This window comes from Homo sapiens, chromosome 4 (genome assembly GCF_000001405.40).
Source record: "Homo sapiens chromosome 4, GRCh38.p14 Primary Assembly".
Taxonomy (NCBI): Eukaryota; Metazoa; Chordata; class Mammalia; order Primates; family Hominidae; genus Homo; species Homo sapiens.
The window spans coordinates 41,680,271-41,695,493 of record NC_000004.12 but is presented as its reverse complement, the minus strand read 5'-3'; the positions used below and the strand labels follow the sequence as shown (position 1 = coordinate 41,695,493).

Below are 15,223 nucleotides of genomic sequence, written 5' to 3'. Positions count from 1 at the left end.
GAAAGCTGGCATTTCAAATTAGTGAGAAAAAGAGGGGTTATTCATTCAGTGATATTCATACAAGTGGCTAACTGGAAAAAAAATCAGGCCAGATAGCTACCTCATTTTTTACCCCCAAATACAATCCTGCTTATGACATATTTACATGTGAAGGAGAAAAAAAAAAACAATTCTAGAAGAAATCTCAGCTAAATTTATTTATACACTTTAAATGAGAGTTTTCCTAAGAAACCTATAATCCAAAAAAGAAACATATATTTCTTTTATATGTATTAAATATATATATTTAATTACATAAAATGAAAATCTTTTGTATGAAAATAAATCACAGAGTGGGAAAACTAATAACCACAATATGCGGCAAATATAACAAATGGCAAATTTCTTTAATTTGCAAAGAACTCATACAAATCAGGTGCCAAATAGAAGAATGGGCAAAGGCTAGGGAAGCACTTTACAGAAAAGGAAATATAAATAGTGAGTAAACATATGAAAAGATGTTCAAACCCATAATTATGGAAATACAGATCAAAGCAATGAGATTTTTTCCCCCACCAAGCAGAGTGGAAATTTTTAATGTTTGATGATATCCAGAGCTGATACAGGCTTGGAGGAAATAAAGGGGGTCTCTCATACATTTTGCAGGGAGAGTGCACTTTTCTGAATGATAATTAAGCAAGATGTCTGAAAATTTAAAAAGCACATGCCTTTTACGTCACCTGTGCTACTGCTCAGAATCTATCCTATGGAGATGCTCTGAAATATTCACCAAGATATATGCACAAGGATGTTCATTTAAAAATAATATTAAAAAATGGGAAACCACCAAAGTGTCCATTCATAGAGAATTAGTTTTAAATTATAAGTCCACACAATGGGATTGTATGCCGCTATTTAAAAGTCATTAAAAAGAAAAAGGAGACACAACATGTTATCTGGAAAAGTTACCAAGATATATCATTAAGTTCAAAATGACAGCAACAAAAACCAAGTACAGAACACCATGACTATATGATCATCACCTATGTGAAATAAAAACCAACACAAATCCAGGTAGATACATCATACTTATATGTATCTCTGTGTGTACATGTGTGCAAGTGTGTGCATACACATGTACAAACATATATTCTGCCCCTACCCCAAGAAATTATTGGAAGGTGATTACAATGGAGATCTGCCCTTTTAATGTGGTGTCTTTCTGAACAATTCAATTTTTCTAACATTATAGCATCTGTAACTTTTATTTATTCATTGAATGTCTATAGAAGCAGAGAAAACAATGGGCCTTGTTTTCTATGGTAAATCCTGGTAAAACACTGCATTTCACATATAAAATAAAGAAAAAATCATTTTTGTGGCCTACCTCCAAATCACTTTCTTATTTTTCAGCTGATTACAGGAACTCCATGGTTTTGAAATTAAAAGCAGTTAATGCCCTTTATATTTGTATATTTAAGAGAAAAATTCCTGGTCTTGAATTAAAAAGCTAATTTCCAAAAGAAATGACAAAGAATCACCCAACCTCTCAATTTAAAAAAATCTAGATGAAAAGAGGTCACTGTCACCCAGAGGGGGGTTCAGGTTGTTCTGTTGGCATCCTTCAAGCACTTTAAATTATTAAACAAACTCAGATCTACAGCACTTTTCAAATCTTTCTGAGCAGTCCTTCAACCTAACAGTGCCCTCTTCTGGTTCCATAAATTACATTCACTGTGGTTCACTGAGGTAGAGAAAAAGAATAATTTATAGAAGACGATAGGAAAATTCGCATTGAAATCTGGGAGAAAAGAGTTGTTTTCCTTGTTAGCATATAAAAGCAAAAGTCCAGTTTAAATAAAATGTATATAATTATTACCTATTATACATGTACTATATATGTTAATTTGTGTGTATATATTTATGATATATGGTATACTATTTATATAATTTAATATATAAAATACATAGTATAAAAACTAATATCATGCATGATCTAAATAGTCCAGTTTGATAGCAGCGGCTCTAAGTTGGAACTGTTTTGATCTCAAGTCAAATATTTATTATAAATCTAAACTACCTGGGTTTGATTAAATTTTTATTTCCCATTTTATTAATAGGCATATTTAACTGAATTTACTAAATCTATAGCTATAAAACAAATTACCTTCAATTTTTATTCTCAAAGTTTTCAGTCTTGCAGAGATTTGAGATCCATGTAAAAAGGCAGTAAAAACGTGACTTCACTTTGAGAAATAGTCATTCTTGAATTTCACACTCCCTATCTTCACTCCAATTTTTTAAAAGAGTTTCTGACTGATGAATCTGCACTAAAAGGTCTTCTGCTGTCTAGGTGACCCACCAGAAGGACTGTACTCATGATGGAGAATGAGGAAACATTCCGAGGCAAGCCACTGGCCATTTTCAGATTTTCTAAACAGCGGCTAGGCAACAGCACCCCCTGCTGCCCCGCAAACTAACATGCACCTTCCACAGTAGGAGGCCCGGATGCAAGACGGGAAAGCAAGCAGGCTTCTCACTTACTAAGGCAGCAAATAATTTGTTAAGCGCATATTGTTACTAAGATATTGTAGAGGTGGGAGGTGGGGAAGAATCCACAGAGAAGTGGAACCCTCATTGTTGTCTCTCAAGGAACTTTCCATTCAGTTGGGAACACATATGACGTAATGAAACTCCTGAATGTAGGGCGTGGAGACATTGATGAGTTGGTGCTCGATCTGAGAAACAGTGGAGAGCCGCTCTCCACATTTAACCATCCCCAAATGGTGCCAGTCGTCTAAAGACATGCCTGAACAAGTGACAGTGTTTGACAGACCTTATATCTCCTTTCTATCACACCAAAATCTCTGTAGTGAGCTCAGGCAATGTTTTGACCTGCTGGTGTGCTGATGCACTTCAGGATAAAAAGAATTGGTCCACATTGTAGCAATAACTTCCAGGAAGAAACGAGTGGTAAATATCTTTTCTTTTTTAACCTAGATGTTAAGAAACCTTTCTCTCAGATTAGAGTGTCAACGGCTGGGGAAAAATATTTGAATTCCTAAATTGGGTCCTATGGAAGACATACGATTACACTCGGTCATCATGAGGCATTCTCCCCAGTACTTACTTCTGGATCGCATGTAGCAATCATTACAGTTCAGGAGACCATTTCGAATCCTAACATCCGTCCCACTCACTGCATCTCCAAGCTGGCCTTTACAAATTCCACACTATAGGGTAAAAAGAACAGACATCATAAGATGCATAAGGAATTGTTTCTTTCTAATGCTTAGTTACTGTTTATGTGAATAGCACAATAATCCCTTCTACAATCACCACATTTGTGGAGCATCTATTATGTGTAAGATGCTGCACCAGTGTCAACTTACAGCAAAAGCAAATATACAGTTAGCAATTTTAGCTTAATTCCTTGCATTTTACAGAGAAGGACACTGGTTCAGTGAGGTTTGTTGGCTTGTTCCTAGGTTGTGGAGCTGATAAGTGGTAGCAGGTTGACTCCAAAGCCTAGCGTCTTAACCTCTATCATACACCGTTTCTCAATCAAAATGGAAGAACCATTTTAAACACATTAAACCCTAGTGGCTTTAAATAAACACATGGCCAATGAGTTATCAATTGAAATGTGTCCATCAATAATCTTTAAAGGCTTGCCAGCATCGTTGCTAAGTTCTACCAGATCAAAATTTCTAGGAAGTACCTGTTCCATTTGTTTATTTTATTTATTTTTTAAGACAGTGTCTCGCTCTGTAGGCCAGGCTGGAGTGCAATGGCATGATCTCAGCTCACTGCAACCTCCACTTCCTGGGCTCAAGCAATTCTCCTGCCTCAGCCTCCTGAGTAGATGGGATTACAGGCGTGTGCCACCACGCCTGGCTATTTTTTTTTTTTTTTTTTTTTTGTATTTTTAGTAAAGATGGAGTTTCACCATGTTGGCCAGGCTGGTCTCGAACTTCTGACCTCAGGTTATCTGCCCACCTTGGCCTCCCAAAGTGCTGGGATTACAGGCATGAGCCACCGTGCCCAGCCTGCTGTTCCATTTTATATTTCCACATTAAAAGCAGTGATATTCAGAGCAACAAATCCACTGGGAATTTCCACCAACACAGGCTGAGTGCAGAAAGAGACTGTAGGATATACTTGGATGTTTGTACCAGAAGGGTAGAAAGGCAGTGGAAGTTGGTGTGGGTGCCAGCCTCTTGCAGGGGGACCAGGATCTAGCCCCTAATTCATGCTCTAAGGTGACCTGGGACAGAGTGAGGCTTAATCCAAATTATGTCATAAGCTGCCTCTACATTGCAAGAGTGGGGAATAAATCCAAGAGGGGATGTACCTTAAAGCATCAGGCCAGCTCCAGGAAGTGAATGATTAGAGTGAATAAAGGCCTTGAGAGTTAAGAAGGCAAGTCTCCTGACCCTTGAGAATCTGCAAAGAGCCCTTACCACCTTGCTTATTTCTAGTCCTCATAAAGTTTCTGAGAACAGAATGCAGTGTTCTCAGAATGCATATTATCTTGGCATAACTACAAATCTTAAAAAGCATATTCCTTGAGCCTCAAAACATCCCTAGACCATTTAGGACATACATTATCTAGGTTAATCTTTACAACGAGAATATTTTTGCTTGTCCTTTGTGGAATGGTTCTCTATAGAAATAAAATAAAACTTAGGAAACTCTGGTCTCATTCTAATACTTTTGATAAATGAAATCTAAAATAAGTATCTATGCTGTGTTTTGTCTATGATAAATCTTGCTTTCAAGTGATTACTGTTATTATTAAATTAGTAATTTGGGGACAACTTCACTGACTTTCTCTTAGCTTATAGGCAAAGTGGGAGTTATTTTAAACCCAGGCAAATTTACTTCATAGCCAAGGAAACTACCAACAAGAAATAAAAGAAAATCCAAGAAGGGAAAAGAAAGTATGTTAGGATTATGCAGACCAAGAAATTACTCCTCCTTAGAGACAGAGGGTTCGCCTTCAAAAATTATATATTATTTTGAAATGTGTCCATGAGTGGAAAATACAGGATATGCTGATATAGTCCAGCTTATAAATTTCATAATAAATCAGGTATAACTGGTTAACTCACCTACTTATTACCAAGAGATCTGGGACTAGAATCTAGAACTCCTCATTTTCAGTTTATTCACTAATTCATTCACGTAAAAATATTTATTGACACCTACTCTGCTAGGTAGAGAGGAAAGAATGGTAACCAAGACAGACATGGTCCCTGCCCTTACGGAGTTTATTAGAGGAGATAATATTTAAATAATCCAATAATCAGTAATAAGGACCAAGAAAGGTTCTATAAGGACCTATAACAAAGATAACTTAGTCTGGGTGGGCAGGGCAGCTTTTTTGAGGGAGTGATATTTAATCTAAGATTACAGACATATTCATTCTGAGACCTACAATTTTCTAACTAGCCACTTAATTGACAGACAATTTTCCACTAGGTCAAAGACTAAAACCCTTTCACATTAAGTCATAAGAGTTTAAGAAACAGCATAGACATTACATTCCAAATAAATCCACATGGCCCTAAAAGATTTGGAAGAGCATCATCCTCCCCAGCATCCCATTCTCAGCCTCCTGCTGGAGTATATGTTCTTTAGCAACAAAAACTGTTTTGTAAGGACAAATTGCACAAACCTTTCTGCTTCTTCTAATCTGACATCCCAGAGGGATTCGTGATAGGTGAGTTTCATTCTGAAGGAATGTCTATACAACCTAGACAGTGAGACCTCACAGACAAAGCCCTCCAGAATTTCCAAGAGGCATTTTTCAGCACGGAACGATGCCAAAAGACATCATGAAGTTGTGTCTGGAGAGCAAAGCAGTAAGTACGTACCCTGAAACACTGGATGTGAAAATAGAGATTGAGGGTCTCGATGATCATTGCAGCTCCTTTACCCAAAGGAAGCCCACAGGAAGAGCACAGCTTCTTTCCACTTATAGACCTAGGTTTAAAAATATACATAAGAATAAAAACTTCAGTTTAGAATACCTGGTCAAACACACAGACATGTAACCTCATGCAAAAATGAAAATATGGATTTTTAAGATGCCTATATCATGAATGAAATGAGAATGACAGAACTGATGATGAATAGGAGATTAAACATTAGATATAAATGGCAAACAACTGCCAGACTAAATATACTGGGTCTCCACTGTGGTACTGAATCTGGTGCGTGTGTTTAAGTTATTAGGTTATTTGTTTCAAGAAGTTTGTGTTGTAGTCTATTCAAATGCCTCAACATGATTCAATATATTTATCATACTTTTTTTTATAAGTCCTAAAAGATAACTGAGTTTCGCTTTCCTGGGGTTTCAATATTGCTTTTAAATTTCCCATAAGTGGTTCACTGGTCCACTATAGCATTTCTTTTTACTTATTAAGAAAACAACATTTTTGTTTGGAAATAATCACCTGTGATACAGCAGACTAGACAGAGGGCCCGGAGAGGTGAGATCTAATGTCTGCTCTGTCGCCAAGTTCTCTGATCTGGTGTAATAAACTAACTCTGGGTTTCTCTTTCACCTTTTAATATGAAAGGATTGGACCAGATTATCTCTACAATTTCTTCCAGTGCAAACACTCTGTGAATGAAGGCACTTGCCTTCTCTCTAAACTGGAAGCCTCTTGAGGGCAGGACTGCATCTACCTCCTCTCTGTACCCCTGCAGCACCCAGTACAGTGCCCAGCAATGGACTGGAACCAAACCAGCAGAGCAAAACCAGGTGAGAGGATACCTTGAGGACACCTTCAGCAACCCATCTGAAACTAGATAGCTGTCCTCTGAAAGGCAGCTTTTATATAACTAAGATCACATTGCAATGATGCCAAATGTCTGAGAAACTCTTGGAATTACACAAGGAATTTAAAAATATGCAATATCATTTGAAAACCAGCAGGATACAGAGGGACAGGAGAAACAGAAAGGAAGACAGTAGAAAAGAGGAAGAGTTCCCCAATCAAATGCTATTTATTAGGATTTCCCTCTTATCCAGTAGTTAAATGAAATTTCTACATCAAAGAAAATCTCTGAGCACTCAGTAATTTGTCTCTCCAGGGAACGGGAATTCAGGCGGCTTTTAAAAATATCATGGGGCCCAGCTAATGTCCAGAAGTCATCATTAGAGAGCTGGAGTAGGTTAGAAGGATGAAGTTTCGTTTGTCAGCCTCCTCCTGGTTCTCTGTAAGAGCCATCAGTGGATCCCGCCTAGAAGGGCTTAGCCCTCTTGAAGGGAAAGGCGCCAGCTTTGGAGCCCAGCGGTTGTCTGGTGGATTTTATTATTAGATTGGAGGTTCCACACAATGTAATTAAAGCCCTATGGCCATAGCGGCACCAATGTCACAGGCCTGACTTTTTCTATTGCAGCTGATAAATCTGCAGGCAGATGGACAATGTTCTCTTTCCTTTTGCCTCTGTGTGTGTGTAGGAAGAGATGTGGATGGACACATCCCTCAAAATCATTTGGCAAGCACTAATTCAGTTGAAATGATGCTTGGCAAGCTCTAGTCATAACAAAGCAGCCTCAGAAAGGCCTGCTGACCTCTTGTACCTGTTTGGTGACTGACCGGGAGGGGTGGGAGAACAGGGAGAGAAAGGCCCAGCCTGGAAGTGCTCTCGGGGACTTTTCCTGTAATGTGGTAAAGGAGTCAAAAATTATGACAAGCAAAGAGAAGCCAAACTCCATTAAAAAAAGACATTTTAGATTAGGAAAATAAAATAAAATAAAACTTTTGTGACAACCAAATCAAAGACCACAGCATTTCCTGGCAGTATTTTTTTTTTTAATGAACAAAAATAGTAATAATGTCTAGCAAGAATTGTACATGTATTAGCTACATAAAATCAAAACCAGGCTGGCATGCTGGCATTGCTGAACAGAAAAGACAGAATTTTTTATAATCTTTATTTTTAGTTAATTTCTTCATTCGCTAAAATTGCCAGGTTGTTTTTTAAAAGTTGCTAGCCAAACTGCTTTGGCATGCTAATTAGATATAAAAACGATGGACTCCGTGGAAGGGGAAAGATGAGGAGGGATCCAGGGCAGATCTTCAAGGAGAGCCCAGAGATAAAGGGCAGAACTTAAAGGAGCTATTTTCAGTGACTTCCCTTATCAACAAATTCATTATGGATACGTGGGATGAAGGGTCATGTTCAAAACATGTAACAACTGATATGTCGTGGGCATCAACAAGTCAGAATAGCCCCCAGCTAGAAGCTACTAGAACGGTTGTACGTGAGCCCTGCCTGTGATTAAGCCATCAGCTCTGGGCTCTTGCTTTTAAAAGTTAATATCATTTGTAAAGAAAAGGGGTAGAACACAGAAAAGAACAAGGGAAAGAAAAATACCAGCACAGAAGCGAACAGCGTGGGAGTCCATGTGTCTTCCGCTTTCAGCATAACTCCCTGATCCCGCTTCCCACCCAAACCTCCCTCGCCAGGGAATGCTTGTCTTCTCCAAATATCACATTTTCATGTAACACCCTAAAGTATAAGTACCAATGCTTTAAAAAAGATTAAACATCACTGCAATAATCAATAACAATAGTGATTACTTCTAGCCAATTTTAGCTTCTATTGATTCTGAGTGTCATACAGACAAATAGAAATGAAACTGGATAGACATAAGAGAAACAGGAAATGGTTCAAATATTGCACTGGGAAAAAGGAAAATGTAACAAGAAAAATAAGACAATAAATATTTTTCTCTTACAAAACAAGTTATCATCATCATCACCTACACTTACTATTAGCCAGGCACAAAACCCTATGAGGTAGGGACTATTGTCATTCCCATTTTATAAACGAGGCAGAGAAAGGTTAAGTAATTTGCTCAAGGTCCAATGTAGGCAAGTGGCTGAGTCAAAATCTGAATGGAGGTAGTCTGGCTCTAGGTAGAATGATTGGTTACAGTACTATGAATGTTAACATTTTAAACATTGGGTTATAAGGTATCTCTGGCTCAAATATGATCTTACGTGAAACTGAGGGTTCATTTTGAATTCCTCTACTACTTAATCAGTTAAATAATTTGGATAAGTTATTTAACTTCCCTGAGCCTCAATTTTATTGTCTGTAAAATGGCAGGAACAATCTCATTAAGTTATTGGAAGGGTTCAGTGAGTTAATGGATGAAAAGGAGAGAAATATATGTAAACTCTTCAACAGAGTGCCTATTATATTGAAATGGTTCAAACACGATAGAAACTATTATTGTCAAAAATACTTTCTTACAAAATTAAATTACAGCTCAGGTAATTACCTTACAGGAGAGCATAATAATGAGAGAATAACATTTTTTTCCTTGAACGAAACTTTGTCCACAGGCTCTGAGGCAATTTAACTCAAATGAATTACAAACACAACAGGCCTGCACCTGCTTTCCAATGTTTAAATTTGTGGGCTAAAAACATAACTTTGCCTATTACAACTTGATAAATTCAGAGTACATATTTACTTGCCAGAAAGACTGACCCAAACTTCCATTTATATTGACTACCTTGTCAATGAGATTTAATGGAGAGAAAGCACAAAAATGCTGCTGTCCTCTTGCCATCTCACATTTTTCATTCTTCTCCCTTCTAACTAAATGAATTTTTAAAAAAGGGAATCCCACAACCATCGTGTCTGGTTACTCACTTCCGCCTTTCACTGGGAGACTCGATCTGATGGTTAATGCTTTTATCCAGCGGGAGGGTTTTTGGCTTCACATCTTCTGAACTGTGCGTTGGATTTGATGTCTGCTGATTCTGGGATGGATCTGAGGCCAATTAAAGAACATAAATGTAGTGCACAGTAAAATCACCTTACTACCTAGGAAGTCACCTTTCTTTAAAGTGCTAATGCCTGTTGAGGTTTTATAGCGATTTCATGCAGGTCATGGGCACATGGTGGTTAGAGAGGCCACTTAAATCACTGCATCATGATTTAGTTTTGGAAACAAAGGAGGTCAGGAACCATGCCCTTTCCCCTCGCTGATTTCTGATGTCATAAAACAGTACTTTAAAATACTGACTTCTTATGCATGAAAGAAAGCAAATCTGGGTGGATGCAATTATAACCTGGAACATCATTTCTAAAACACAGTAAACACCCATTGCTTTCTCTGACTCATGGATCACACCAACTGTGATGTGGTTTAAATCCATAGGGCACCTGAATGGTATTCAGCTTGCAGGATATCTCCATTTGGGAACACGCACAAATCTATGCTTATGTATTATAATCAAACCCAGGTAAATATGTGTATAGACAACAAGCTAAAAAATTTAAGGCAAAATTCGTTAATTCCACCATTAAAAAATATTTATTTGGTCAGCCAGATTTGCTTTGGCAATAAAACATTTACCAGGGTCATTCTTTCATCCTCTTAGCTCACTCCTCCTCTTTATATCATTCAACATTTGAAGTTTCAGTTATCTAGGAATGATCCTGAAGACCCTCGGCATGTAGAATTTGATCATTTTTGCGAGGAATACATTTGAATTTTGCTATGGTGAGCCAGGAGCGTGGGAGACACAGGTGGGAATGAGGGTGAAATGGCAATGGGAACCGATGGGACCTTCCCAACATTCCAGCACCCACATCTCACCCGGCTTTGGGGATTCCACTCCTCCATAAGCATTTTATGGGGAGATTATGTCCAATGGTGGAATTGGGAATTTGAGGAAGTCTCAGAATGCACTACTTATGAAGGTCAAAGGTTTTCTGTAAAGTTACATTTTTTTTTTAAGTGCGAACACGCTCTCAGGTCTCACTGAGTCCCCAGCAAGTTCCTATAGAGTCTGAGCACACGATGGTAGAAGTTTATTCACTATATATTGGGCATAAGCTAGAAGTCCAGGGCCCTTAGAGAGAAGCCTGCAGCCAGCAGAGATCATAGCTTTCTGGACAATGTGGGGGTCTTACAACAATTTAAACATTGAATGAAACTGGTCTTCTCCATTCTTACCCTGAGCAAGCTGTGGGTTTGTTCCACAGTGTGGGGCCCCAGCCTCGGTATCCAGCTGATGGTCTTCATGGACTCCTTTTGATACAGGGTTCCCAGAATGAGCCAAGGCCCCTTCAGTTAGGCTGTTAAAATAAAGAGGTATACTTCAGAGCAGAGAGAAAAGTAACTGAATCGAACTTCTTGGTCCTATAACTTAAAGGATGGGAGTACCAATTACAATATAAAAAAAGAGATGGGACTCTTTATTTATTCTATTTTAAAATAGATTTAAAATGATAAAGTACTACAAATTTCTATTATCCACCCATTTAACAAGCTCAACAAACTATCATTTCTGATGCCTTCTCTGTCCACAAAGGTCTTCATTCTAATAATTTCAAGGAATGCCAGAGCTAACCTGATGTTCACAAGAGAGCACTTACTGTAAAAATAATTTAGCCACATGGAACCTTTGAAGACCATGGTAACTCACTGGCCTTTCAGTGGCTTCTGTGTGCAAAGAATGAACAGATGGAGGAGATAAAAGGAAAGTTTTTCTGGTGAAAACAGGGACCGCCTGGAGAACTAGCTAAAATTCATGTAAAATGCCTGTCTGGAGAAATTGCAAAAATGCAAAAAATTGCAAAAATGAAGGTCAAAGGTTTTCTGTAAAGTTACATTTTTTGTACATTTTGTAAATAGCTTATCAGCATCATTCAGATCTTCCTGACTAGTGGTTTTCATTGCATAAAACTGAAAAGTCCCTTTAAAGAGTTTAAACTGGAAAGTCATCCAAGGGCTCTACAGTTTCTGGACATAGCCCTGAGCACCTGTAGCTTACAATTTAACCAGTCTTCTAGCTGATGAGCATAGGAGAATTCTCAGAGCAAAATCCCACCAGGAAAGCTCTGCTCCCAGCCAACCTTTCAAGTTGGCCAGTCTTTGAAAATGACACTTAGCCTTTCATGCCTCAGATCCCTCTGGTATGCTGTGTGTGTGCACATGCATGCACTCTTGCCAATACCTATCTGGTAACTCAGAGCCCCAGAGGAAAACATCTTTCTCATGAAGAACATGTTGGTGGCAGAGCACTGCCAGCTTCTTGGGCTTTCTGTGGGTCCCTTCTAGGTAAGGGATGGGGTGGGGTGGCATGAATAAACCCATTACAACCCTCAGCCACAACCAGAGTCTGCTCCAGTATGAGCTAGTTTTGAGCGCTCCAGGGGGTCTCTAGCTGTCCTTTTCTGATCTTCCATGGAACACAGTAGAGCATGGGTGGGGAGACTACCCATAACCAGTTAATTAGTTGGTTATGCTTTATATTATCACCAGAGCAAACATGATTTCTTACAGCTCAGGGGATAATAATGGCCAACTTCAGGTCCACAGTGAAACCACAGTGGTGGGACCCCAGGTTCTCATTTCAATTTCTATCACTCCAGACACATTCATCATTTCAAGTGAGTAATATTTAGGTTTGGGGCTTTGAATCAGCTTTTGAAGACTGATACTGCCCCCCTTTGTTTAAAAAAGAGTTTGCCTATTTAAAAATAAGGCTATTTAGGCCAGGCATGGTGGCTCACACCTGTAATCCCAGTACTTCAGGAGGTAGAGGCAGGTGGATCACCTGAGGTCAGGAGTTCGAGACCAGCCTGACCAACATGACGAAACCCCATCTCTACTAAAAATACAAAAATTAGCTGGGCGTGGTGGCACGCACCTGTAGTCCCAGCTACTTGGGAGGCTGAGGGAGGAGACTCGCTTGAACCTGGGAGGTAGCAGTTGCAGTGAGCCAAGATCGTACCATGGCACTCCAGCCTGAGATAGAGTGAGACTCCGTCTCAAGCAAAAAAAAAAAAAAGAAGAAGAAGAAAAAAAATAAGGCTATTTATATTCAAAAGATAAGGGCACTGATTTTAGACCTATTACAAAATATGTCCAAACAATATGTAATGTATTACTGGAACATTCATTTCGAAGCTGAATGTAATTTGCATCAGCAATGAGTACCCTTCCTGAGCGTGCACGAGCAGAGCCCAGCTTTGTACATTTTCATGGTGGCTTGGGATGGGCTCATACCTGCCCTTCTCCTCCAGTCGATCACTTTCCCTAGTCTTCAGCAATAAGTCACTGTCATCTCCCTGGAATGATTTCTTCCATCTTCTGTCTTGTTTTTCATCTTGACAGTTTCCCAGGTCTATCTTATTCTAAGGAGAAAAACAATGAAAATCTTAAGTATAAATTTTAAAAACACTGTATAACCCTTATCTCTGGCCAGGGATATTTGAAGTATTTTTCAATCATGTTACCTATAATTTAAAGAACAGTTGTCCAAATTAACTGAATAGCAACTGATTTCCAACTATTTGGAATAAATGTATAATCTGAATCTCTTTAGAAAGTTATCACAAAAGGGAATTGATTAGAAAACCCCTCTTTCAAAATAAAACAGTCATAGGACCGCTCATTTCAGGACAAATGGTTTTCTGGTATCCACAGGTTATTTTCCTTTACGTGGATTATGGACCACCCAGGTCTTGATATAACTTCTGCCCTGTACTTCCATCTTCTATGACCTTATTTGGGGAATGTGGAGGCAGACCAGACTTTATAGGCTCTCTCTGGCCTTCAAAGACAACATGTAAATTTCTTGTGGATTTTTGTTTGTTTTTAGTGCTGTTCTACGTAAGTTCATTTTATTTATTTATTTAGGTTTTTTTATTTGTTGTCTTGAAGTTTTGGGGTACATATGCAGGATGTGCAGGTTTGTTACACAGATAAACATGTGCCATGGTGGTTTGCTGCACCCATCACCTGAGTGTTAAGCCCAGCATGCATTAGTTTTTTTTATTATTATTATTTCCTTTAGAGATAGGGTCTTGTTCTCTCACCCGGGCTGGAGTACAGTGGTGCAATGGCAAGATCACGTTCACTGCAGCCTTTACCTCCTTGGCTTAAGGGATCCTTTGCCTCAGCCTCCCAGGCAGCTGGGACTACAGGTCTTGTGGAATGTGGGGGGGTTAGAAGCAATTTTCATGGATGCTGGTGGAGAACATGTTATTGACATCTTTGCTACTGCCAAACAATGGAAAAGAATGTATAGTATGGCAGAGGGGAATAAATATATATTGAATGAATGAATGATCTGGCAACTGGGCTGTGAGAAGGATATTCCACAATATGACTTCACTAATTGAGATCTTGCCAGCCAGGTGTGGAGAGACTTTGGCTTCCAGACTACTGGGATAGATCTTGCTGGGGTAATGACTTTACCACTCCCCAGGAAATGACTCTAGAATTTGGCTGCAGCAGTGATAGAACAATGGGGTACAATGGCCACACAGTAGCTGACGTGATTCTAGGGGAATAGCTAGTCTTGGATTTAAACTAGTGAGTCTGTTCGGTAACCTTGGTCTTGGGGTTTGGTACTTCCATTTAGGTTTATTTATTTCACAAATTGCTTTTAATCTGTGGTCTCACCATTGTCCCACTGCCTTCAGTCATGGAGGAAGAGGTAGACAGCTGGTCAGCGGAACTTGAAGAAACAGTAAATGGAACCACAGTGTCTTCAATTATCTTACGCTCCTAAGGGGAAGGACAGGAATCGATGAAAGGGGGGAAAATAAAAATCATATTTGTCAAGACAAAAATGTCATTAAGGCACTTTAGAAAAAAATCAGAATATGTTCGAACAAGCAGGGCATTTTAAAAAGTCTTATTTTCCAAAAGCATGCAAATCATATAACACTCTCCATGGGTAATAATTTAGAAATTAACATTTAATTTTGAAAAACAAAGACTCTGCAAATTAATTAGTTAGAGTAATACAAGAAGCCTAATTAGAAATGCTATTAGGGATCTGATTATGCACAAAAAGTATTGCTGAATATAAAATTCACAATATTAATCATGAACAAACTTTAGATAACATACATAAAATGCAGCCCCCTTTAAGTTATCTAATGTGTTCTGGCTTATTCATTTAAAAAACAAAATGAACCTAAACAAAATTCTCTTCTCCTCCAAGTCTCTTTAGTGCTATATAGTAAATGCAGTCATTCAGCCTCAATATCAAAATTATCCTCATAAAATTAATTCACTATTACCAAACAACAAACACACAAATGAATGGAACTGATTATTTCATGTCACCTCTCTAAAATCAATCAAGAATCTGACTCACTGATTAGAGAACAGATGTAATTGTATCGTCTCCCTTGACTGTGACTCAACACACCCTTATCACGAACTGTATTTGTGAGGAATTGT

The 15,223-nt window shown here is 38.5% G+C and overlaps 1 protein-coding gene and 1 long non-coding RNA gene across 55 annotated transcripts in view; one reads left to right on the top strand and one right to left on the bottom strand.

The window, feature by feature from the left end:
* LIMCH1 (LIM and calponin homology domains 1) overlaps nucleotides 1–15,223 on the bottom strand; it is a 340,438-nt gene that overhangs the window by 4,551 nt on the left and 320,664 nt on the right. For 24 of the 54 annotated variants that reach the window (NM_001289124.2, XM_011513646.2, XM_047449833.1 and 21 more), the window contains 6 exons: nucleotides 14,435–14,539; nucleotides 13,034–13,161; nucleotides 10,976–11,097; nucleotides 9,664–9,784; nucleotides 5,859–5,967; nucleotides 3,110–3,212 (listed from right to left, as the gene is read on the bottom strand). In NM_001289124.2, coding sequence (NP_001276053.1) covers nucleotides 3,110–3,212; nucleotides 5,859–5,967; nucleotides 9,664–9,784; nucleotides 10,976–11,097; nucleotides 13,034–13,161; nucleotides 14,435–14,539 — 688 coding nt within the window. Of the gene's footprint in view, nucleotides 1–3,109; nucleotides 3,213–5,858; nucleotides 5,968–7,567; nucleotides 7,655–9,663; nucleotides 9,785–10,975; nucleotides 11,098–13,033; nucleotides 13,162–14,434; nucleotides 14,540–15,223 lie in introns of all 54 variants that reach the window. The other 30 variants (XM_011513642.2, XM_011513643.2, XM_011513645.2 and 27 more) reach the window with 2 other exon arrangements.
* LIMCH1-AS1 (LIMCH1 antisense RNA 1) lies at nucleotides 2,697–11,416 on the top strand. The gene is made up of 3 exons (XR_002959789.2): nucleotides 2,697–2,952; nucleotides 6,567–6,751; nucleotides 11,334–11,416. It is a non-coding gene; the product is annotated as an LIMCH1 antisense RNA 1 (long non-coding RNA).